This window comes from Homo sapiens, chromosome 4 (genome assembly GCF_000001405.40).
Source record: "Homo sapiens chromosome 4, GRCh38.p14 Primary Assembly".
NCBI classification, from domain to species: Eukaryota; Metazoa; Chordata; class Mammalia; order Primates; family Hominidae; genus Homo; species Homo sapiens.
In genome coordinates this window covers 56504427-56530521 of record NC_000004.12, presented here as the reverse complement: position 1 = coordinate 56530521, position 26095 = coordinate 56504427, and the positions used below count along the sequence as shown (strand labels likewise).

The following is a 26095-nucleotide window of genomic DNA, read 5'->3' as shown; positions in this document are numbered from 1 at the left end:
GCCCCGCCCCGGTCTAGCCCCCGAGCCCCGCCCTAGTCCCACACAGCCCCGCCCCGGCCGGACTCAGCCTCATCTCACTCCGCCTTCCTGCGCGTTGTACGGTTGCCAAGGGGACGCACCACTCTCCAGGACCTTCTGGGCGCATCTGGGGACTAAGAAAAGCCAGAGACAGGTCGGTGGAGATAGGAGACGAGATGCTGACCCTGTTCCCCGTGTCCAGAGCAAGGATTCTCGCCTGCTGTCGTTCGCGGAGGCCCTGGGGTAGAACATGTCAGTTTCTAATCTAGTTAGGGCGCCCCTCAGACCCCAGAGGCAATCTGTAAAGAGCTTGTGCCCAGAGGTTCCTGGACACAATCTCTATACGGGCTTTTGTCCCCTAATCATGCTGGGAGAGGATGCCGAGACTGATAATATTCTAAGGCCCTCAGTTACTAACACTGATTTCCATCAATTTCTAGTTAAATGCACGACCATCAGAATGGAGCGGGGGCGGGGGGCGGGGGGTGTGGGGGAGGTGGATCCACCAGTGCGACATTTGACATAAGCTTACATTCAAGAAGAGTCTCAAACTTGAATGTTTTACTTTATCTCCACATGAAGTTCTATACACAGTCACAAAGAAACACTGACTGGATTAAAAGAAAAATATATTCATCTACAACTTGTGTCTCATTACAGGGCTCACTATCTACTGAAGCATGCTATCAGCTACTTTTTATAAAGGGCTGTAATTATCTTGTGAACAGTACAACTGTGTGCTGTGTTCTGTGGGTGCGTCCATTAATTTGTTAACTGTGGTATCTTTTAAATATACCACACTTCTTGTAACCCTGTTTTTGGCATCCTCTCTTTTTTATCACTTATTATACCAAGAGACTTTAAAAACATAGGTGGCCTGGCCGTCTCTCAATCCTTGAGGAGTGCTTTCAGCTAATTTTCATGGTGGTGACAGTGTGATAGAGGGGAATAGAAGTGGTGGAGTTTTACTGATGTGTTTATTTTCAAGGGAAGGGACTAGAGGTGTTGAGGAATAAGTTGTCTGTTAAAATATTTAGTAAACCCAAGTACCCCTTTTGCTCGTTACTGGGTATTCCTTGTATGTACTTAGTCTCATAGATGCTAAGAAAAGTTAGAAGAGAAATATTTTGGATTGTGAATGTTATCTGGAATGGAACTAGAAGATTCATTCTAGCATGTGCGTATATGAATCGGAATCTCCTTCAACCTTACTTTGATAGAGATGTGTGTAATATTGTATGGAAGTTCAGGAAATATCCCCCAAAACTTGGAAGGAGAAATAAAGCTACTCTCAGAGAGTTTTAACTCAACCTTTAAACCAATCAGGGAGGAGTTATGTAAATCCACCTTAAAGAGGCAGGATGGCCCTTAAATCAGTAAAAGTAGTCCCTGGTTACATGAAATGTCTTCGAAAGTCCAAAGAACATGTCAATTGAAAGAGGGGGATTCAGGCCACTGTGAATGTACAGAATGAGCATCATAGAGGCTGTGCCTTCTCAAAAACTGCAGAAAGGAGGGGATCTAAGCCAATAGACTGCAATTGTTACAGCCTATCTTTTAGGCCCACTTGCTATGAATGTGGTGCCACTGTATATCAAAATATTCATGTTTAGCTTTCTTTCCTTCTTTTTTATTTGGGACAGGGTCTGGCTCTGTCGTCCAGGCTGGAGTGCAGTGGAGCAATCTTGACTCACTGCAACTTCTGCCTCTTGAACTCACACCATTCTCCCACCTCAGCCTCTTGAGTGGCTGGGACTACAGGCGCATGCCACCACGCCTGGCTAATTTTTGGTATTTTTTTGTAGAGACAGGGTTTTGCCATGTTGCCCAGGATGGTCTCAAACTCCTGAGCTCAAGCGATCCACCCACTTTGGCCTCCCAAAGTGCTGGGGTTACAGGCATGAGCCACTGCACTGGGCACAGGCAGCTTTCTGACATGACTTGCTTCTCAAGGAGTCTGCTTATTGGGAAAGATTATAATGATCACATAGAATGAATTCTTTTCCAAGTCTGTCTTAGTTCATTTTATGTTGCTATAATAGAATACCTGAGACTGGGTAATTTATAAAGAATTTATTTCTCATAGCTCTGGAGGCTGGGGCATCCAAGTGCATGGCTGTGGCATCTGGTGAGTCTTTCTTGATGCAGCATAGCATAACATGGTGGGAGGGCTGAACATGAAAGAGAGGCACCAGGGCTGGACTCATTTTATAACAACCCACTCCCACCATAATGACATCATGATAAGGTCATGGCAGGCCACCCAGGCCCATCATCATCTCTCTGGATTCTACAGTGGCCTCCGAACTGGTGGAACTTCTGACTTTTACCTTTGATCACCTCCAATCATAACACTCCAAACCATTTTTTTAAATCCTCAAGCTTTGCATTATAAGGTGTTCCATACTCTGGTTATTTTTTCCCTCTCTAGTCTACTTTGAGCCACTCCACCCTTGCTGTCTACATTCTGGCCTCCCTACTCTTCTCTAAAGTGTCAAGCTCTTTCCCATTTCAGTCTCTTCTCACACCTGTTCCCACTGCGTGGAGCCCATTTCTTCCCACTGTTTACATACTGGCTCTTTTCTAGCCTCTGGGGCTCAGCTTAAATATTACCCACTCAAAGAGGTCTTTCCAGCCCATATTAATTTTAAAAATGTTCCCACCATTATTTTCTATTTCATTTCCTTGCTTCAACATAATTTGTAATTATTTCATCTGCTTGTTTATTTTTGTGTATTTCCCCAGCTAGAATGTAAGCTCCTTAAAGACAGTGAAATTCTCTGTCCTGGTTACTGGTATATTCCCTGTGCCAAGCACAGTGAATGACTGTGAATAGCTGTCATTATTTCGTTTTCCTGCCTAGAATCCCTTCCCTCTTCTTCTGAAGGCAGAACCCCTCCTTTCTGCAGGGAACTCATTCAGTATAGTTTAAGGGGCTGATCCTTCCTTCTAACCCAGGTCTGACCAATCCAGCCACAGTAATTGGTTCAAGGATGAATATGCAACCCCAGAAGAGCCAATTGGTATCCCTCCGTGAGATTTAATGGATGTCTGCTCAGAAAAGGAAGGTCCATCTTACTCTGAGATCATGAGCTATAAGAATGGCTTGTGTTGACAGCAGTCATCTTGCTGCTCTGAGGAGGGAATCTGAGAATCAAACCAAGCAGAGGTTGGCAGGGCCAGGACATGGAGAGACAGTCTTATCTTTGAACTTCTGAACTCCTGAATCCACCCATGCCCAGATTTTCCAGGATGATGAAGAAAAAAAAATTCTTTTTTTGTGGGGGTACACACAAATTTGAGTTGAATTTCCGTTAAAAAAATTTTTGTAGAGACAGGGTCTTTCTATGTTGCCTAGGTTGCTCTCTAACTCCTGGCCTCCAGCAGTCCTCCTGCTTCTGCCTCCCAAAGTGCTGGGATTACAGGCCTGAGCCACTGTGCCCAGCCTTTTTGAACAAGGTCTCATTCCATTGCCCAAGCTGAAGTGCAGTGGTGCAATCACTGCTCACTGCAGCCTTGACTTCCCCAGGCACAAGTGATCCTCCCATCTTAGCCTCCCAAGTAGCTGGGACTACAGGTATGCACTATCACATCTGGCTAGTTTGTTGTTTGTTTGTTTCTGGTGTGTATTTTTTGAAGAGATGGGGTATCACCAAGTTGCCCAGGCTGGTCTCAAACTCCTTGGCTCAAGTGATCCACCTACCTTGGTCTCCCAAAGTGCTGGGATTACAGGCGTGATCCACTGCATCCAGCCTGAATTTCCTTTTAACTGAATTTATTTTTAGCTGAAAGAGTTCTGGCACATTTTCTGGCACATGGTGCTCCCAAAATGTTTACTGAATGAAAAGGCAGATCCACTCTTGGTGTGCTAACTAAACCTACTTTCTAACATGACTCAGCTTCTCAAACCTGGAATGCTTGTAAGCCCGGAAGGCTGGCAACAGACACGAGATTGTGGTAAAGTCTCCAAGGTCGTATGCCACCCCATTAGGCCCATTGGGCAGGCTACCAGCCAGGCAGCCTCTCTGACAATACGCCAATCTGTCTTGTTGTCTAGTGCCATTTCTGTTAGAAACCCCCATGACACAAACCCTCATCGTTAGCCTGAGAGCATCTCAAGTACAGAATCCCTGCTTTGTTCACCCTGGTGTCAAGCAATGACTGCCATGTTGGCACTCCATAACTGTCCACTGAAGGAAAAACTCCAGCCACAACACTTGTTGCCAAAATGCAGAATCTAAAATCAGAATCTGAGATTAAAAAGACCAAACAGGGAAGAACAGAGATATTGTTCCCCATCCTGAAAGCTTTTGGCCTTATCTTTGAAATAAGCATCCAGAAACTTCTCTATGTCCCTGATCACCTTAGAAAACCTAGGGAAGGGACAAGCACATAGAATCAGAGTTTAGGGCTGGAAGTGGTCTGCATCTCACTTGATCTTTTTACAAGGACAAGACCAAGACAGTCAAGGAATTCATCCAGGGGTCCATTCGCGGTAATCCTTGGGGCAGAGGTTAAAATCCAACATTTCTGACAATTCCGAATCATTGTGTGATCCACCCTCCATAGGCCAGACAAGAAGAAGGTTTAACATTAGACACCTGAGTGGCTGCTGTGATAAGATACCATTAAACATGATGGCGTGGTGCTGATATGAGAAAGGTAATGATTTTAAAGGCTCACTCTCCAATGTCTCATCTCGCAGAGGGCAATCATCATTTTGCACATGCATGCATAAATTCAATTGTGTTCTATTTTAACCTAAAACTAGAGACAGTTATGTGCTAATATTGAGAGGGGTTATCTTCACCAAATTTGGATTTTTTTTTTTTTTTTTGAGACAGGGTCTCACTATGTTTCCCAGGCTGGTCTCAAACTCATAGGTTCAAATGATCCTCCTGCCTCAGACTCCCAAAGTGTTGGAATTACAGGTGTGAGCCACCACGTCTGACCCCATATTTGTATTATTTCACCACAGATTCCAAATTTTATTTTATTTTATTTTGTTTATTTTTCTTGAGATGGAGTCTTGCTCTGTTGCCCAGGCTGGAGTACAGTGGTGCGGTCTTGGCTCACTGCAACCTCTGCCTCCTGGGTTCAAGCGATTCTCCTGCCTCAGCCTCCCGAGTAGCTGGGATTACAGGTGCCTACCACCACCCCTGGCTAATTTTTTGTATTTTTAGTAGAGACAGGTTTTCACCATGTTGGCCAGGCTGCTTTTGAACTCCTGACCTCATGATCCGCCCGCCTCGGCCTCCCAAAGTTCTGGGATTACAGGTGTGAGCCACCACGCCTGACCCCATATTTGTATTATTTCACCACAGATTCCAAATTTTAAAAGGAAGGATTTATAGAGCAAACTCTCTTTACAATTTTTCTTAAAACCAAAGCAAGGCACTATAGTTACAAGTTGGATTTACAGAGTGTCTGCAAATAAATATAGTTATCACTCTTTCTAGTGAAGAAAGTTTATCTATATAAAAGCAAAATGTTAAGAATTTTAAAAACAAATCCCCACAATGTTCCTCATCTCGTCTAACAAGCTCCTGGAAAAGAAGCCCTTCCTAACTCTTTCTGAATACTGTTAATGTTTATTTCTCTGGGGGTTTGACAAAGTTCACTGTCCTCATTGTCCTACCCTGATATTTCTTATAGTGTTAAACAGATCCACTTAATGGAAAGACACCCAGTTTTTTACTTGAAAAGAGAAAACATACTAAAATATATTCAAGGCCAGGTGCAGTGGCTCATTCCTGTAATCCCAGGACTTTATGAGACCGAGGTGGGCAGATCGCTTGAGCTCAGGAATTCGAGACCAGCCTGAGCCACATGGCAAAACCCCATCTCTGCTAAAAATAGAAAAATTAGCCGGGCATGGTGGCGTGCACCTCTGGTCCCAGCTACTTGGGAGACTGAGGAGGGAGGATCACCTGAGCTGAGATCATGCCACTGCACTCCAGCCTGGGCAACAGAGTGAGACCCTATCCACCCCCACAAAAAAATTTCATATAAATTTCATGCCATTGCAAAACAATAAATGGGACAAATGCTTGCTAATGTTCATTTTACCTTTGTTGATTAAAAATCCCAATACCCCCAATACACTGTTTTACAAATATTTTTAACATTCAAAATCCAAATAGAGATGCTGTTATTATGTTAGCATTATCTTTGTACAGTTGTCCGTTGGTATTCTCAGGGAGACTGATTCCAAGATCCTCACAGGCAAATGTGGATGCTCAAGCTCCTGATGGAAAATGGCATATTTACATATAACCTACACACTTCTACTCGTGTATTTTAAATCATCTTTAGATTACTTATAATACCTAATACAATGAAAATGCTATGTAAATAGTTGTTATATTGTATTTTAAAATGTGTATTATTTTTATTGTTGTGTTATTATTCTTCAGTGGGTTTACTTTTTGAATGTTTTGGATCCACAGTTCTTGAATCCCCAGATGTGGAACCCATGGATATGGAGGGCTAACTATATACATCCCATGCACTGAGAAAATAGGAAATGGCTTAATTTTTATTTGAGGTGGAAACCTTTGGCTTCAAGCCTGCCATTCAACACTGATGACATCTCAGTCGTGAGCCGCACAGTGGGCTGAGTCCTGGTCACTGCACATCTGCAGCCAGCTGTGCAATCAAGTCTTTGGCATCTTGCATGGTGGAGGGTATCTCTGAGCCATTCTTAGTCAGGTAGGTTCCAAACAAGAACATCTTCCTGTCATTTCCCACTTCAGATAATGCCAAAGCTTCATGGATATCTGTAATGTGATAGGCTGCTTCAAGATCCTTCATCCGGAGTGGAATAAGAATAGGACAAAGTTGGTTATTTTGCAATCCTTTCAGATAAACACATTTATTACTCTTATTTATTGCTCTCAGTGACCACACCATTTTCATATAGAGGCTATTGTGACTCCATTATTATGAGCCCAGAGGTTGTTTGAATAAAAAGGTTTTCATCAGAATTATGCCAGCATTTATGAGTTATCCAAAAAAAAGTATATTCTGGAATGAAGCTAAGCCAATATAATACCTTAATTTTCTAAACGGTGCAGTCAATCTGTTTCTAATTTTGTTTGTTTGTTGTTTGTTTAAAGACAGGATCTTGCTTTGTCGCCCAGGCTGGAGTGCAGTGGCGCAATCTTGACTCACCGCAACCTCCGCCTCCCACGTTCAAGCAATTCTCCTGCCTCACCCTCCTGAGTAGCTGGGACTACAGGTGTGTGCCACCACGCCCCACTCATTTTTAAAAATCTTTTGTAAAGAGGAGCATCTTGCTATGTTGCTCAGGCTGGTGTCAAACTCCTGGCCTCAAGCAATCCTTCCACCTAGGCCTCCCTAACTGCTGGGATTACAGGCATGAGCCACTGCACCCAGACTAATTTTGTTTTTCCATTTTCCTTTTAGTCTTCTAAGATTATTTCAACAGGAGCAATTATTTTTATTTATATTTAATAACAGAAATTTGATTCATCTATTGTTTTAGGTCTATATGATACTTTACCAATTATAGTTCTTGCCACTGTGAGTTTTCTTTTGTGCTCATTATTTCTACTGAACAAAAAAATCCTCAACCAATTTTGGGGAGTAGAGGAAGACAGAGAAGAGAATGGAGAGGGAACAGATTCAGACAACGTGCAGTGGGAAAAGGAGGTTCAGAGGAGAGACAGGGAAAGAGATGGGGGAGGCTTGGAAGAGGGAAACCCACAGGAAGAGGCAGAGGGGGAAGACAGGAAGCCTGTGCTTAGGCCGCATGCCAGGGCCAAAACCTCCTTACGATGGAAATGGCAAGGTCAAAACATACATCTTTAACTCTCATACACCAAGAATTATTTAAGCAAATGACCTGTGACATTCCCTTTCATAAATAACACAGATTCAGCTATAGTTTTCCAGTCCTTTGTAAAAGTTTTTTCACTTCTAAAATTGCATTTGTAATTGGCTTTTTGTTATTTCATAGCATTCCCCCTAAGTTTTAGAAGATCATCATTTTTAAATCTCTGGAAATAACCTAATATTGTGTCTTTTTTTTTTCCTGTATCATATGAACCTATTTTTTTTTGAGACGGAATCTCACCCTGTCACCCAGACTGGAGTGCAGTGGTGCAATCTCGGCTCACTGCAACCTCCGCCTCCCAGGTTCAAGCGATTCCCCTGCCTCAGCCTCCCAAGTAGCTGGGATTACAGGTGTGCGCCACCACACCCAGCTAATTTTTCTATTTTTAGTAGAGACGGGTTTTCACCATGTTGGCCAGGCTGGTCTCGAACTCCTGACCTCAGGTGTTCCGCCCGCCTTGGCCTTCCAAAGTGCTGGGATTATAGGCATGGGCCACTGTGCATGTCCCGAACCTATCAAATTCTATCACTTGGAGCCTGTGGGGCTTTTCCTGATGTGCTTAAGCCTGGGAGGTGGAGCTTGCAGTGAGCCGAGATCACACCACTGTACTCCAGCTTGGGTGATGGAGTGAGACTCTGTCAAAAAAAAAAAAGAAAAGAAAAGAAAAGAGAGGAGTGGAGGGGAGGGAAGGGAAGAAAATCTTTTGTATAAAAGTAAGCAAAGTAAAATGATAAGCCACCAGATGCTGGAAAAGATAATTGTAATGCACATAACTAACAAAGAATTATTTTTTCCAAATGATATGAAAGACTCCTACAACTGAAATAAGAAAGATAAACACCCTAGTAGGAATTTGGGAAAACATATTAATAGGCAATTTACAGATGTGGAGACTAATAAACATCTGAAAAAATGTTCAAACTCACAAGTAGTTAAGGAAATGCACATTAGAATAATAAAAAACAAGTTCACCCATCAGATTGGCAAAAATGAAAAAGTCTGATAATACCAAGTATTGACAAGGATGTAGAGCTGCAAAAACTGTCATATTCTGCTGGTGGAAGAATAAATTTGTGCAACATCTTTGGAAAGTAACTTGGTGATACCTAATAAAACAGAATATGTACAAATCCAAAATCCCAGCAATTATTTTAGGTATATCCACCAGCAAAATGTTCATAGACATCCACAAAGGGACACATACATGAAGGCTCACTGGCAGCACTGTTAAGAACAATAAAAAATTGGAAATAACTCAAAATTCCTGGCAGTAAGAAAATGATAACATTTTGGTATATTAATGCTATGGAATACTATACAGCTCACTTACATGTACCATGATCTTCTAAATCTTTGTAGTTTATGGTACTTAAGATGCTCCACTTAAAACAATAAAAGCATCAGCCTCTCTCTTTTTTTTTTTTTTTTGTTTTTTGGGGCGGAGTGTCACTCTGTCACCCAGGCTGGAGTGCAGTGGCACGACCTCGGCTCACTGCAACCTCCACCTCCCGGGTTCAAGTGATTCTCCTGCCTCAGCCTCCTGAACAGCTGGGACTACAGTCATGCACCACCACGCCTGGCTAATTTTTGTATTTTTTAGTAGAGACAGGGTTTCACCATGTTGGCCAGGCTGGTCTCGAACTCCTGACCTCCTGATCCAACCACCTCGGCCTCCCAAAGTGCTGGGATTACAGGCATGAGCCACCACGCCCGGCCCAACCTCTCTTTTAAAATGCCAGCAAAATGTCAAAATCTGCCGGACTAGCTTCTGTACTGGACTTTAACATAGGCTCCTATTTTAGGTCATCATTTATAATTACTTAGTTTACTTCCATATACGTTCACCCATAGAAGTGGTAGGAGAAAAGTCAGGAATTGAGCTCTTCTATGATTGGCAAACCTAACAATTGAGAAAGGGACTTCAGCATTACAATATTATAGATGTTTAAATTTTTTTCAATTTTTATTGTGTTAAATACATGTAACAAAATTTTTCTCCTTAACCATTTTTAAGTGTACAGTTCAGTGGCATTAAGTATATTTACATTGTTATACAACTATCACCACCATCCATCTCCAAAACTTTTTTTCTACAAAACTGAAACTCTGTATCCATTAAACGATAACTACACATTCCTCCCTCCCACAACCCATGGAAATCACCACTCCACTTTCTATTTCTATGAATCTGACAACTCTAGGTACCTCGTATAAATGGAATCATATAGTATTTGCCCTTTTGTGACTGGCTTATTCACTTAGCATAATGTTCTCAAGGTTCATCCATGTCAGAACATGTGTCTGAATTTCCTTCCCTTTTAAGGCTGAACAAGATCCCATTGTAGCCAGGTGCGGTGGTTCACACCTGTAATCCCAGAACTTTGGGAGGCCCAGGTGGGTGGATCACTTGAGGCCAAAAGTTCGAGATCAGCGTGGCCAACATGGAGAAACTCTGTCTCTACTAAAAATACAAAAATTAGCTGGGTGTGGTGGCATGTGCCTGTAGTCCCAGCTACTCAGGAGGTTGAGGCATGAGAATCACTTGAACCTGGGAGGCGGAGGTTGTGGTTAGCCGAAATTGCGCCATTGCACTCCAGCCTGTGAGACAGAGCAAGACTCTGTCTCAAAAAAAAAAAAAAGTCAGGAGTGGTGGCGCATGCCTGTAATCCTAGCCACTTGGGAGGCTGAGGCATGCGACTCACTTGAACCCAGGAGGTAATGAGCTGAGATCACACCACTGCACTCCAGCCTGGGTGCTAGAGCAGAACTCTGCCTTAAAAAAAAAAAATCCCTTTGCATGTGCATACCGTATTTTATATATCCATTTATCTTGGGTAGCTTCCATTTTTGGCTGTTATGAGTAATGCTGCTATGAACATATCATAAAAAACATAAAACATACAAAACAAAACAATATAAAACATAAAGAAACATAAAACAGCCAAACATATGAACATCAATTTGAGTCCCTGCTTTTAATTCTTTTCACTGTATACCCAGAAGTGGAATTGCTGCATCATAAGGGAATTCTATTTTGATTTTTTTTTTGAGCCTGTCGCCCAGGCTGGAGTGCAGTGGCGCGATCTTGGTTCGCTGCAATCTCCGCCTCCCAGGTTCACGCCATTCTCCTGCCTCAGCCTCCCGAGTAGCTGGGACTACAGGTGACCACCACTAAGCCCGGCTAATCTTTTGTATTTTAGTAGAGACAGGGTTTCACCATGTTAGCCAGGATGGTCTAAATCTCCTGACCTCGTGATCCCCCACCCCTGCCCTCCCAAAGTGCTGGGATTACAGGCGTGAGCCACCGTGCCCAGCCTCTATTTTTGATTCTTTTGCGGAACCATGTTACAGTTTTCTATAGCAGCTCTACCATTTTACATTCTCACCAACAGTGCACAAGGGTTCCAAATTCTCCACATATATTTAATATTTTTAATGCATGTGTAGAATAAGTTCAGGTCAGTCTGATAGGTCTAAAGCAAAATGATTTTTTTATACATGGTAGCCACTCAAATATTTTGTTGAATCAAATTTAACAATATGTATTTATTGAACTAAGTTCAACACACATCTGTTGAATTCCTAGCATGCACAAGACAGTATACTAGGTATTACAAGGGACACAAAAATGAACAACAGTCTCTACCCTCAAGGTGTTTATAATCCAAGAGCTCTAATAAACATAAACTGAGTTAAATATATAGCATATTGTTGACTATCTAGGTATTAAAAGTATACATTTCTTGTATTACAAAACTCTTGAGTACAATTTATATTTGCACAGATTTTTACCTGTTTGTTTGCAAACACAACCAGAGGAAGTACTGGGTTTGCTGCAATTAGCTGATGAAGGTATTTCTTGGCTTCAGGTAATCGGCTGTGATCTGCTGAATCCACCACAAAGATCAGCAGCAATCCCTTGGATAGGTACATTTCCCAGTAGGACCGAAAAGGTTTACTGCCACCAACTACAGAGAATAGTAGAGGAAGAAGACACACACACACAAAATCACAGAAGCACCCACCCAGGGAGCAGGGAGGGCACATCTAGATTTCTGAACACAGGACAGGTGTTTTGATAAAATATCACCGTGTTAGAGTGTACCCAGTCCTCAGAGTGACCAGAGGCATGTTAGCGGTAAACTGGTTGGTGAGAAGAACCATCACAAGTGGTTCATTCATAACTGTATCACAAAGGATCAGCAGAGAGATGCTAAATACTACAGTGGATGTCTCCTGATCCCATTGTCCACAGCAGCCATGTCAGCCACTGCATGTTTATCAGTTATAGCTCAGAAAATGGGAGTAAGGCCAGGTGCAGTTGCTCACGCCTGTAATCCCAACATTTTGGGAGGCTGAGGCAGGAGGACTGTTTGAGCCCAATAGTTCAAGACCAGCCTGGGCGACAGGGTGAGGCCCTGTCTCTACAAAAATAAAAACTAAAAAATGAGCCGGTGTGGTGGTGCATGCCTATGGTGCATGCCTATGGTGCATGCCTGTGGTGCTACCGACTAGAGAGGTTGAAGTGGGAGGATCACTTGAGCCCAGGAAGTGCAGTGGTGTGAACAGGGCTACAATGAGCTGTGTTTGCGCCACCACACTCCAGAGTGAGACCCCCATCTATCTAAAAAAAAAGAAAAGAAAAAGAAAATGGGAGTATGCTACTAAAATAATTAAGAATGGAAAGGATGGTAGGCTAAAATACACATTAAAATAATTTTTAAATGAACTGAATTCATTGGCTAGTCTCACTTGCACAATTTTTTTCCTTTGTCAAAATCCCAGAAGTAACTTCTCCTCTTAATATTGCATTGAGTTAATATGATCCTGTGGGTATTCAGGAATATTTGCTTCAGAAAAAAAAAATGCCTTTTGATTACTTCATCCTGCTGATTCTTCACGGAATAAACTTTTTGGTTAATGATAATAACATATATACAATGGATTTTATTTTTGTCCTAGGAGGAGTATTGGCAAACCATGGCCCACAGTTCAAATCTGACCAACTGCCTATTTTTGTACAGCTCGCTAGGTAAAAATAGCTTTTACATGTCTAAATTTTGGAGAAAAAAAAAGACAGAATAACATTTTCTAACACAGGACTATTATATCAAATTTAGATTTTGGTGCCCAGAAATAAACTTTTATAGTAACACTGACATATATATACAACATATTGTCTATGACTGCTTTCTCAAGACAGAGTTGAGTGGTTGCAACAGAGAGCATGTGGCCTGCAAAGCATAAATTAGTTCCTATGTAGTTCTTGACAGAAAAACTTTTTGGACCTCTGTTTCAAGAACTTAACAAAAAGTATTTTAAATGCTAACAAGAAAGGATCTTTGCCTTTCCTTTGGCTTCCTTTCTATAGAGGTAGGCTAGTCATTCCTTGAAGTATTTTCTGTTTTTAATTTGTTAAAATAGTGCTGTGTAACTCATATGGTTTTAACACACATAGTTTAAACATCAGTGGACGTTTGAGTTGTTCCTCATTTCTTGCTACAATAAACAATGCTGCTCTAAACATTTTTGTATTTGTCTCCTGAGGTCCATACAAGCAAGAGTTTCTCCTTGTATCTAAGCATGTAACTAATGCCAAATACACCAAATTGTTTTCCAAAGAAGTTGGTACCAATACACACTCTGCCAACAGCTAATAGCCAGTAAGTTTCCTCTACATCCACATCCTCTTTTTATTTTTATTTTATTTTTTCCTTGAGACAAGGTTGTGCTCTGTCATCCAGGCTGGAGGGCAGTGGTGCAATCTCCACTCACTGCAACCTCTGCCTTCTGGGCTCAAGCGATCCTCCTTTCTCAGCCTCACCAGTAGCTGGGACTACAAGCACGAGCCACCATGCTTGGCTAATTTTGTATTTTCTGTAGAGCTGGGTTTCGCCATGTCACCCAGGCTGGTCTTGAACCCTTGAACTCCAGTGATCCACCCACCTTGGCTTCCCAAAGTGCTGGGATTACAGGTGTGAGCCACTGCACCCAGCTGCATCCTCTTCAAAACTTGATATTATCAGATTTCTTTTTCTTTTTCTTTTTTTTTTTTTTTTTTGCCTAATTTGAATTCTACTTACTGATCAAGTGGAGTATTTTTCATATGTTCACTTCTAATTTATGTGAAATGTTATTCACGTCTTTTGCCAATGTTTTTATGTTGTCTTTATTTGTAGGAGTTCTTTATATATTCTGGACACTAGGCATTTGCTTGGATGTGTTGCATGTATCTTCCCCTATTTTGTGGCATCTTTTTAATGAACAGATGTTTTCCATTTTAATGTAGTTAAATTTATCCATCTTTCTTATGGTTATTATTTTTTGTATCCTGTTTAAAAAATCTTTCTCTATCCTGAAGTCATAAGGATAGTCTATATTTTCTCCACAAAGCTTTTTACATTTGGCTTTTATCCATCGGAAATTGATGTATACATTTGTATGCATAGGAGGCAGGAAACTAATTTCATCTTTATTCCATGTGGTCCCTGCACCATTTATTGAATAGTTTCCCCAGTGGACTCTCTAGTCTGTTCCTTTGGTCGTTTTGTTTATTCTTGTGCCAACACCACGCATTTTAGTTTCATATCTTTATAATAAGATTTGATACTTGACAGGACAAGTCCATCCTTCTTATTAATTTCTACAAGAGTGTCTTGGCTTTCTTTACCCCTTTGCTCACCCATGTAAATTTTAGCCTCAGCTTGTCAAACTCTTTTTAAAAAATCTTGTTGAGCTATTGATTGGAATTGAATTGTATCTAAACGTCAATTTGGGGAGAATTAATTCTTTTGATATAATGTCTACCTATTCATGAAAACTGTATTATGTCTCTATTTAGGTCTTTTGATTTCAATGACATCTACACATTTTCTCTTTATAGATAGACACTTTTTTTGTTTGATTTATTCCTATCTTTTGTTGCTATTGAAAATGGCTACATGCTGCTGCATAACAGAAATACAATTAATTTTATATTTTTATATACAGTTGTCTTGCCAAGCTGTTATAATTTCTAATAATTTGAAGGGTGTTTTAGGCTTTCTTTGAAGACAATTATATCATTTGTAAATAAGTACTGTTTTATTTCTTCCTCTCTAATTCTTACGCCTTTTATTTCTTTTTCTCAAACTGACTAGACCCTCCTGTATAATGTTGAATGAAAGTACTTCTAACATTTAGTACTTTCTGTTTAGGAGTAAAGTTTTCTGAGGTTTTGGTAGGTTAAGGAATTCCCATTTATTTTTAGCTTATTAAGAATTTTTATCATAAATGGAAACTGAATTTAGCAGATTTTTTTCTGCTTATATTAAGGTGATTATGTTTTTTACTTTGATGGATAAAGTGGTGAATGACATATTTTTTTCAAATTTTTTTTTTTTTTTTTGAGATGGAGTTTTGCTCTTGTCATCCAGACTGGATGGAGTGCAGTGGCACAATCTCAGCCCACTGCAATCTCCACCACCTGGGTTGAAGCAATTCTTCTGCTTCAGCCTCCTGAGTAGCTGGGATTACAGGCACCTGCCACCATGCCCGGCTAATTTTTGTATTTTTAGTAGAGACAGGGTTTCACCATGTTGGGCCAGGTTGATCTTGAACTCCTGACTTTAGGTGAGTGATCCGCCCCCTTGGCCTCCCAAAGTGCTGGAGTTACAGGCATAAGCCACCACACCTGGCTATTTTTCAAATGTTAAACCAACCTTTCATTCTTGAAGAAACTCATCTAGTGATACATTATCTCTTTAATATGTTAACTGAATTTAGTTTACTACAATTTTGTTCAGATTTCTACATTTCCATTTCTTATACTATCTTTGCTGGTTTGGATATACAGTGACCTCATACCGTGAGTTGGAGAGCATTTCTTTTTTTCCCCTATTCTCTGAAAGAATTTATGTAAGATTAAGATTGATAAGAGCCCACCTATAAACAAACTGATCTGGTGTTTTTCATTATAGGATGATTTTTCGCTATTGATTTCTTTAAAAGTTTTAAATTATTCAATATTCCTATTTCTTATTGAGTCCATTTTCCTAAGACACATGTTTGGAGGATTTTTGCCACTTATCCAGGACTTTATATCTATTGGTACAAATTTGTTAATACAGGTATTATACTCTTGTCATCCTAATCAATGATATGCTCTTTTTCCTTCATGACATTATTTATATGTGGTTTCCAGATTTTCCTTAATGAATTTCACCAGAAATTTGTCTATTTTGTTTATCTATTCAAGGAACTAACTTTTGACTTTGCTGATCTTTGCTACTGTGTCTTCATCAATTTCATTGGCTTCGTGTCTTTATTATCTCCCCCTCTACCCTCTTTGGTTTTATTCTGTTGTTCTTTTACCTAATTTACATTGCATATTTAACCTATAAGTGTTCAGCTATTTTCCTTTCAGCTATAATCATTTAAGATTATAAATGCTTTAAATGCTAGTTTTGATCAGTAGATTTTGTCATCTTCTTTTTTGAGACACGGTTTCACTTTGTTGCCCAGGCTGGAATGCAGTGGCGTGATCATGGCTCACTGCAACTTCTGCCTTCTGGGCGCAAGCAATCCTCCTGCCTCAGCCTCCAGAGTAGCTGGGACTACAGGCATGCACCACCATGCTCAGCTCATTTTTTATATTTTTTGTATAGATGGGGTTTTGCCATATTGCCCAGGTTGTTCTCAAACTCCTGGACTCAAGTAATCCACCTGCCCCGGCCTCTCAAAGTGCTGGGATTACAGGTGTGAGCCACCATGCCTGGCCTGAACTCATATTTGATTAATCTTAATTTATGAGAATATTGGGGGGCTTTGCTCCAGAATTAGAAACTGGGGGAGCTACTGACTGGGAGCATGTTAGCACTCTTCCAGGGGCCCTCGTGTCATGCAGGCATCTTAGTTAGTTCTTTCCTATTTTGTCTCAGGCCCACTGCAGATTAAATACTGGTATGTGCCTCTAGATAACACCACTTTTCTCTTTGCTTATCTACTGTGGCTGCCACTCCAGTTTGAACTCATGAGTTGTTTTATTTTTCTTTCTTTGGGAGGAGGGAAAGAGCAGGAAGAGTAAAGCAGGTAGCCTTGAAAATTTGTCTAACTTGTTGCAAGTTCTTCGATGCTTTAAAAAATAAATTTTAACCAGGATTTGTGGTTTTGTCACAGGAAGGCCCTTCAAAAACTATAATAGCAGCTGAAATCTCTCCATTTATTTTTGCCACTACTTTTTAGTGCATAAACTACAAGAATTTTTTAGAGATGATCTGTAGAATGTTGATGAAGAGATATAGGCAAAATTATATGTGAATATATCATTTCTACGAATAGGCTTATACAATGAAACTTCACCTCCCACCAATCCCCAACATACTCCAAGTGTTACACAACAGCATAACAGCCCATACAGATTTATATCACTGAATACCACTGGATGCTGCATCCTAAAAAAAAGCCTCCTTAGAAGCTCTGCCCTGTGGCATTATGAAAATTTACCTAAATTGATGGCTTAATATAGCCACTGTGCAGATACACATTTTAAATCTCAAAGATTGCAAGCGTAAACTGCTGTTCTTTTTCAGGATATTGATGATCATGATAAAAATCGGGAACACAGTTGGCACTTAATGCATTTTTGTTGAATATGTACTATTTGCCAGACATTGGGTATGCATTGTTGAACAAAACAAGTATAGCAAAAGTTACCATCTAGTTGGGTGGACAGATCAAAAACAAAAATAAATAGTGAATGTTATTAAAAACCTTATGGAGAAAGCAAACAGCATTGGGGAACATACTTAGAAAGAATGATTTTACGGGCTGGGCGCAGTGGCTCACACCTGAATCTGAGTACTTTGGGAGGCTAAGGTGGGTGGATCACCTGAGGTCAGGAGTTCGAGACCAGCCTGGCCAACATGGTGAAACCCCGTCTCTACTAAAAATACAAAATAACTAGCTGAGCATGATGGTGTGTGCCTGTAATCCCAGCTACTCAGGAGACTGAGGCAAGAGAATCGCTTGAACCCAGGAGGCAGAGGTTGCAGTGAGCTGAGATCGTGCCACTGCACTCCAGCCTGGGTGACAGAGCAGGACTCTGTCTCAAAAAAAAAAAAAAAAAAAGAATGATTGATTTTGTGGGGCCATGTAAGCTAATACCTGAAGGCTAAGGAGCAAGCCATCAAGGGAAGAGCAGGGGTAGTAGTATTTCTGACAGAAGGCACACCCAAGAAAGCTCTTTTAAAAGGAGAGAAGGAAAGGAGTACAATAAGCCTGGGGTGAGGTAAGGTTAGGGAGGAGGCAGTTTATGAAGAGCCTCATGAGTCATAACAAAGACTCTGGATTTTATTACAAGGATGAGATCTCCACAGAAGAGTTTTAAATTAGCAAATGATGTACTTAAAAGTATGTGTTAAAATACTTCTCTTCGTAAACAGATAAAAGCCAAAGTAAAAAGGTGACTATAATAATCTAAGTAATAGATGATGGAGGTTCCGACTTGCATAGGGGCAGTACAAAGGATATAACCAATGAATTTGAGAGATGCGTTGGAGATAGCAAAATTCATAGTGTTTTACTTGTGTACTGGAGGTGGGAATGCAAAAGGAGGAGTCAAGGGTGACTCCCAGGTTTCTGGCTAGAGCAACTTGATGAGTATGGAACCATTTACTGACCAGAAGATTAAAGGAAAAAGAACAGATATTGGAAAAATCAAGCATTTTGTTTTTCCCTTGTTAGGTTTTAGAGGACTTGGATATGTTTGGGCTGGATAGATAAATTTGGGAGCCATTAGCATATAGATGGTATTTAATGCCATGAGGATGGATGACTGTGTAAAGAGAAGACAAGAGGACTTGACCCAACTTCAGGAGACAGTAATATTTAGAGGTGGTGACTCCAGAATTACTATCCAGTAGGGGCCTGTGGACTGCCATCTATTTAGAAGAAGAGGTTTGGAGCTTGTCTATAATTTTATTTGCAGAGAAGCAAGCACACTGTACTTACACTTAGATTGCATGCTCATTTGCAGTAGTGTGGGAAGAAGGATGATTACAGGAGATTATAGGAGTGAGTGCTAAAGCCTTCCTCTAAATTCCCCTTTATCACCACTACTGTAAAAAGGAGAGTATCAAAAAAGCAAAAAGTGATTCCCCCCACAGTGTACCTGGGTATTAAACTACACATCCATTCTAAAAGTCTAGGAAAATTTGATTCAGTGTTAGTTTTCACAAGGACTCAATGTTGCTAACATCATATCTGGCTTAAGAGACAATAAAATGTGGCTATCTTATAACTAAGGAACAGAGAGCTTACTCTCCAGGAACTCCATCTGGCTGTCTTCAGTGTTGATGCAAACTGCATGGAAACCTTGGGTGGGTGCCACACTGTGCTGGACTCTGTTTGAAGCTAGAGAGTGCAGGACACTGGTTTTTCCTGCTCCATCCAGGCCCAGCACTAGGATTTGCTTGTTTTTCTCCTGTGAAACAAAAAGATAAATCAATAAGCCCATGCTATCAGGGGCTCATTTTTCTGGGTCTTGGCAGAATCCAATAATATTCTTGGAACTGTAACCAGAATAAAACTCCACGGGCCAGGTGCGGTGGCTCACGCCTGTAATCCCAGCACTTTGGGAGGCCGAGGCAGGAGGATCTCTTGAGGTCAGAAGTTCCAGACCAGCCTGGCCAACATGGTGAAACCCCATCTATACTAAAAATACAAAAAATTAGCCAGGTGTGGTGGCGTGCACCTGTAAGTCCAGCTACTTGGGAGGCTGAGGCACAAAAATCACTTGAACCCAGGAGGCAGAGGTTGCAGTGAGCTGAGATCACACACTGAACTCCAGCCTGGGGAACAGAGTGAGACCCTGTCTCCAAAAAAAAAAAAAAAGGGATAAAACTTCACGAATATTTTATACGTCTAGAACAAACAGTACCAACTAGTTAATATTTTCTAATGAGCTGTTCATTATGTGATACTAATTTCACATCCGTCCTCTATCCCCCACCTCCTGATCAGTCTATCAAATAAATACTATACTATCAGCATTTATGAGCAGTGCTATAGATTACAGGACCAATTCTCAGACTTCATTTTGCTTCTTGAATTCGTGTCTATGAATTGGAGACTGCACCTGAATTCATTTTGTTTGGGGTCTTGGGACCTCCGTGGTGCATGTATTGACTGTGCCACTCGGTGCATAAGCATCTAAGGTCTCAATTATTAATTTCTCCTGTCTTCATAATTGAATAACTAGATTGTAAGATCTCAGGGCAAGGTTTCCCTCTTATACTTTTTTTTTTTTTTTTTGAGTTGGAGTCTTGCTCTGTCACCCAGGCTGGAGTGCAGTGGCACGATCTCGGCTCACTGCAACCTCCGCCTCCTGGGTTCAAGCGATTCTCCTGCCTCAGCCTCCCGAGTAGCTGAGATTACAGGAGCATGCCACCACGCTCCGCAATTTGTATTTTTACTACAGACGAGGTTTCACCATGTTGGTCAGGCTGGTCTCGAACTCCTGACCTCGTGATCTGCCCACCTTGGCCTCCCAAAATGCTGGGATTACAGGCATGAGCCACCGCACCCAGCCTCCCTCTTATAATTCTAATATAAGTATCACAATTAAATGAAAAGGTTATAGAAATTATTAAGCCAGTTTCAATCACAAATGAGTATTTGTTTTAAAAACAGATGAACTTGGGAGGCCAAGGCAGGCAGATCACCTGAGGTCAGGAGTTCGAAACCAGCCTGGCCAATATGGTGGAACTCTGTGTCTACTTAAAATACAAAAAATTAGCCAGGCGTGGTGGCAGGCACCTGTAGTCCCAGCTACACGGGAGGCTGAGGCAGGAGAATTGCTTGAACCCAGGAGGTGGAGGTTGCAGTGAGCCAAGATCGTGCCACTGCACTCCAGCCTGGGCGACAGAGCAAGGCTCCATCTTAAAAAAAAAAAAAAAAAAAAAAAATTAGCCCAGTGCAGTGGTGGGTGCCTGTAATCCCAGCTATCTGGGAGGCTGAGGCAGGAGAATTGCTTGAACCTTGGAGGCGGAGGTTGCAGTGAGCCGAGATCACGCCATTGCACTCCAGCCTGGGCAACAGAGCAAGACAACGTCTCAAAAAAAAAACTAAACTGATGAACTTGAAGTAAACTTAGAAAGAAGCATTCTAGTCCAGGCATCGTGGCTCTCATCTGTAATCCCAGCACTTGAGGAGGCTGACGCTGGTGGATCGCTTGAGGCCAAGAGTTTGGAACCAGCCTGGCTATCACGGCATAACCCTGTCTCTACCAAAAATATAAAAATCAGCCGGGCATGGTGGCATATGCCTGTAATCCCAGCTACTTGGGAGGCTGAGGCATGAGAATTGCTTGAACCCGGGAGGTGGAGGTTGCAGGAGCTGAGATGACACCACTGCACTCCAGCCTGGGTGATACAGACTCCATCCCAAAAAAAAAAAACAAAAAAAAGAAAAAGAAAAAGAAAAAAGCATTCTATCAACGTATTAGCCTTAGAATTTTTATGGCAAATGACTGAGGGACAGAAGGGCAGGCTGGTGTGAAGATCGTACAGGGTGCTCTGAAAGGTGGTTTCCAGGGTGTAAACTTTAACATAAACAATAATAAATAAGCAACAATATAGCCAGACTGCTCATAGGAATTCAATTCTACTTCTCAAAGATCCTACTAAAGAAGTTTCTTATGCACAAAAAACTCTAATAATTGTCTTCAATGGCGCTGGTTTAGAAATAACAATAATCGTATACATTTCTGTTTGTTCTGCTTGAACTCTAAATGTTGACATTAGACTTAAACTAGATTTCTAGAAAAAAGTGATCTTAAACAGCATTAGAATGTCTGTCCCACTTTCTTTTTAGAAACATCTATGTGAAAATGAGATATTTTGAGGTCTGGCCTAATAAAGACTTGTACAGAGATCATGATTTATGAAGGCCATATAGTGAATAACAGAATTTGAAAAAAAGTAGGCCGGTGCGGTGGCTCTTACCTGTAATCCCAGCACTTTGGGAGGCCAAGGAGGGCGGATCACCTGAGGTCAGGAGTTCGAGACCAGCCTGACCAACATGGTGAAATCCGGTCTCTAGTAAAAATACAAAATTAGCCGGGCGTGGTGGCGAATGCCAGTAATCCCAGCTACTGGGGAGGCTAAGTAAGGCAGGACAATCACTTGAACCTGGGAGGTGGAGGTTGCAATGAGCTGAGATCGCGCCATTGCACTCCAGCCTGGGCAACATGAGTGAAACTCTGTCTCAAAAAAAAAAGAAAAAGAAAAAATGTACGTATTTGTTCTTGGAGCAAATCTTTGATGGCTCTTAAACTAAATTGTATTTTCATAGATGTCTTCCATCCCTGCCTCTTCTCCATTCCCTTCATTTGCATCTAAATGTTATGATGTCATTCTGAGAGTGTGTCAAGGTAAGGAAGAGGGGCAAGGGAGACTTCATTGGATGGCTTAAAATTGCATGTTTTAAAGCAATACTGGCACCAAGAAATGGCAGCCAAGAGTGGATTGTGTCCTGTCAGTCTTCACCAGAGGCCCTATTCAGCCTACCCCAACATACTTCATTCATTCTAAGATACATATTCCCCCCACATTCCACATTTTAATATCTCTGAAATTAGAATGTCTTTGACAATTGAGAGTATGTCACATTTTGATTGGGAGAATTTTTTTTTTTTTTTTTTGATACAGAATCTCTCTCTGTGGAGTGCAGTGGCACGATCTTGGCTCACTACAACCTCTGCCTCCCAGGTTCACGCGATTTTCCTGCCTCAGCCTCCCGAGTAGCTGGGATTACAGGCACATGCCACCATGCCCAGCTACTTTTTTTGTATTTTTAGTAGAGATGGGGTTTTGCCATGTTGGCTAGGCTGTTCTGGAACTCCTGACCTCAGGTGATCCACCCACCTTGGCCTCCCAAAGTGCCGGGATTACAGGTGTGAGCCACTGCGCCGGCTTTTTTTTCTTTCTTAGTGGTACCTAGACTAATGTCATCTTAGGCCCTATAAAATAGTGTGAATTAAAAGCAGTTCCCAGGCCGGGCACAGTGGCTCATGCCTGTAATCCCAGCACTTTGGGAGGCCAACGCGGGTGGATCGCTTGAGCTCAGGAGTTGAAGACCAGCCTGGGCAACATGGCGAAACCCCATCTCTACCAAAAATACAGAAATTAGCTAGGCACGGCGGTGTGCACCTGTAATCCCAGCTACTTGGGAGGCTGAGGTGGGAGGATGACTTGAGCCTGGGAGGTGGAGGTTGCAGTGAGCCGAGATCACGCCACTGTACTCAAGCCTGGGCGACAGAGCCAGACTCTGTCTCAAAAAAACAAAAACAAAAATATCAGTTCCCTTTCCAACCACGTTGCTGTCCCTACGCCCATCCTACCTAGAAATTCTGCATTCAGGCTTCCTCACATTTACCTTCTCCTAAGGAAAGCTGAATTTGTAAAACAGTTCAGACACAAAATGTGATTCTGAACACCGTTTTTGTCAAAAGTTATTCCTTTAGCCAAATATGAGTCTATGTAGTCTGTGTTTTACCAGAGATCAAATCTCTGTTAATCCGTGGTGGCTCACGCCTGTAATCCCAGCGCTTTGGGAGGCTGAGGCGGGCGGATTGCTGGAGCCCAGGAGTTTGAGATCAGCCTGAGCTACATGGCGAAACTCCAGCTCTGCACAAAAATACAAAAATTAGCTGGACATGGTGGCGTGTGCCTGTAGTGCCAGTCACTGAGGTTGGGAGATGGGGGCGGTGCCAGGCTGAGGTGGGAGGATCCCTCCAGCCTGAGAGGCAGAGTAAGACCCTGTCTCAAAAAAGAACACACACACACACACACACACACACACACACACACACACACACACAACTGTGTTAATCATTCATAATTGTTTAGAACCAGAGCGCAGCTCTAAGCCAAGGAGCCAGCTCAGGAACTCCAGGAGCACAGAGACCATTCAGCTGACCCAAATAATGCCAAGTTTCTAAGACCTGTCAGTTAAAACTTTTCCGCCATCCATTCATGGTACTGGTGGTCTGAAAACAACTGCAGCGTCCCCAAACACCTCCTGCGTTCAGGAACCCTGCCCCTTCTGACAAAGAACGCATTCAATGCAAAGAGGGCCTGCGTGTGGGGAGGGTTCGGGGCTGGTTTCTAAATGTGGTCAGGTGGTCTGTGCGCTAGTGTTGCGCGCTGGACAGATCTAAGGGCAGTAGAGGGGCCGTTCCCCATGTCCCCATGAAGACCGAGATCTCTTGTCCCTCAACAACAGACCCGACTGAGGTTAAGACACAGGGGTAGCGATAAGGGCTAGGGTGGGCAGGGGGCCCGGGAAAAGGGGATGGGTCGTTCAAAGTTTGGCGCATCTCTTTCATCCATAGGTAAATAGCCCTCAGTTGAGATCCATTCGCTCCCACGCGGTCGGGGGCCTCCGACGTAACAGAGACAGCGCTGGGGTCTGAACGGCCGACAAAAGCCTTGGGGCAAGGGGTCCTGGGCACTGGGTCTCTTACCAGCGGCTCGAGCGGGGTCCTTGTCAAGGTGCTGTCCTTGTTCTCCCCTTTCTCTTCTTGTCCCTTAAATTGTTCCTTCTCTTTGTTTGTCTCCTTCCCTTGCTTTGTCCTCTTTTCCTCTTTCTCTTTTCCCTTTCTCCTCTCCTGCTTCTCTTGCTTTTGTTTAATTTTCTGCTCCACCTCCTTTCTTTTCACTTTCTCTTCCCTACCCTTTTCTCCGATTTTCTCCTCCTGCGTCTCCTTTTCCTTCTCTTTCTTCTTCACTTTCCCCCTCTCCATCCCCAGCGCCGCGGTTTCCTTCCCTCCCGCCGCGTGCCCGCGTGCTGAGCGGTGGCTCTGGGCCCCAGGTGTGGCTCCCGAGGTGCACGCCCGACAGAGACGTAGGCCCCGCGGCGTAGACAACCCGCGGGCGCTGCCAACCCCGGCACCGCCGCCAACCGCCGCTTACCTCGCGGATGCAGGGCTTCTTGCAGCCGATTCGCTGAACCCGCAGGGGTTCGCAAAGAGGGAAGGGCGGAGGCGTACGGATGGATTGAGCCCAGCCAAGCGAAACCAAGAGGTCCCAACCAGGACGTGGGACAGTTCGGCGGGGTATATCATTGCTGCAGAAAAAGCGTCCCTAGCGCGATTACCTCGGGCCAGGCAGGGTGGCTAAGAGCCTTCCACGTGGGCCGCAGTCTAAGCAACCTTAGCGTCTGACGTCTCCGGCTTCAATCCCGAGACCGGCCAGCCTGTGTGAAGAACCCCTGGGGCGTCAGAATCCAGAGGTTCCGGGAGGATTCTCAGCCTTCCCTCAGCTCCCAACCATGAGCCTGTACTGCTCATGTCATGTATTTCTCCGCCCTCTCCCGAGTAAACTCCGCTAGGAGTGTCTCCAGACTACTACCCAGGATTATTAGTTGACTATTACCCAGGATTATTAAAGACAAATAGAAGAACGTGAATGGGTTCCATTGTTTTAAGTTCCTGTTTTGTTTTTGAGACGGAGTCTCTGTCACCCAGGCTGGAGTGCAGTGGTGCGATCTCAGCTCACAGCAACCTCCGCCTCCCGGATTCAAGCGATTCTCCTGCCTCAGACTCCCAAGTAGCTGGGATTACAGGCGTGGGCCACCACGCCCGGCTAATTTTTGTATTTTTAGTAGCGACGGGGTTTCACCATGTTGGCCAGACTGGTTTCAAACTCCTGACCTCAAGTGATCCTCCCCGCCTCTGCCTCCCAAAGTGCTGGGATTATAGGCATAAGCCGCCGTGCCCGGCCTGTATTTCACTTTAAAAAAAATTATTCGGAGATAGCCTGCCAGGATCACAGCTGCTAGTAATGCTCAGTATTAAAACCAAAACCAAATAGTCTAGTCACTTCTAATTATCTAATAAATGGTAAATAAGGCACACGAAGGGCTTTTCAAAGGTGGTATTGTTTCTCAAACTGGCTAAGAAATATCTGGAGGGTTCCTTTTATCTTGCTAAACTGAACTCTTTAGTATATTTCAGTTTAGCACAATTATATATTTTTTGAGACAGTCTCGCTCTGTCGGCCAGGCTGGAGTGCAGTGACACAATCTCGGCTCACTACAACTTCCACCTCCCGGGTTCAAGCAATTCTCCTGCCTCAGCCTCCCGAGTAGCTGGGATTACAGGCATGTGCCACCATGCCCAGCTAATTTTTGTATTTTTAGTAGAGACGGAGTTTCACCATGTTGGCCAGGCTGGTCTCG

At 42.7% G+C, this 26095-nt stretch overlaps 1 protein-coding gene and 1 long non-coding RNA gene across 12 annotated transcripts; one reads left to right on the top strand and one right to left on the bottom strand.

Moving 5' to 3' along the window:
• The first annotated feature begins 35 nt into the window (after positions 1–35).
• Positions 36–7176, top strand: LOC105377665 (uncharacterized). Of its 3 annotated transcripts, none has more exons than XR_941077.1 (4): positions 36–172; positions 2105–2146; positions 4588–4680; positions 7137–7176. It is a non-coding gene; the product is annotated as an uncharacterized LOC105377665 (long non-coding RNA). The 3 variants fall into 3 exon arrangements; XR_941076.1 differs by lacking the exon at positions 7137–7176 and adding an exon at positions 6468–6549; XR_001741700.1 differs by lacking the exons at positions 2105–2146; positions 7137–7176 and adding an exon at positions 6468–6549.
• Positions 6069–25313, bottom strand: ARL9 (ARF like GTPase 9). Of its 9 annotated transcripts, none has more exons than NM_206919.3 (4): positions 25013–25313; positions 19175–19337; positions 11669–11844; positions 6069–6825 (listed from the first exon to the last, which is right to left on the bottom strand). In NM_206919.3, the coding sequence occupies exons 2-4, from the start codon at positions 19188–19190 to the stop codon at positions 6646–6648; spliced, it is 372 nt and encodes a 123-aa protein (NP_996802.1). In that variant the 5' UTR covers positions 19191–19337; positions 25013–25313; the 3' UTR covers positions 6069–6645. The 9 variants fall into 9 exon arrangements, with proteins under 9 accessions (NP_996802.1, NP_001388286.1, NP_001388288.1 ...); NM_001401357.1 differs by having other exon boundaries at positions 24829–25077; NM_001401359.1 differs by having other exon boundaries at positions 11669–11763; positions 24829–25077.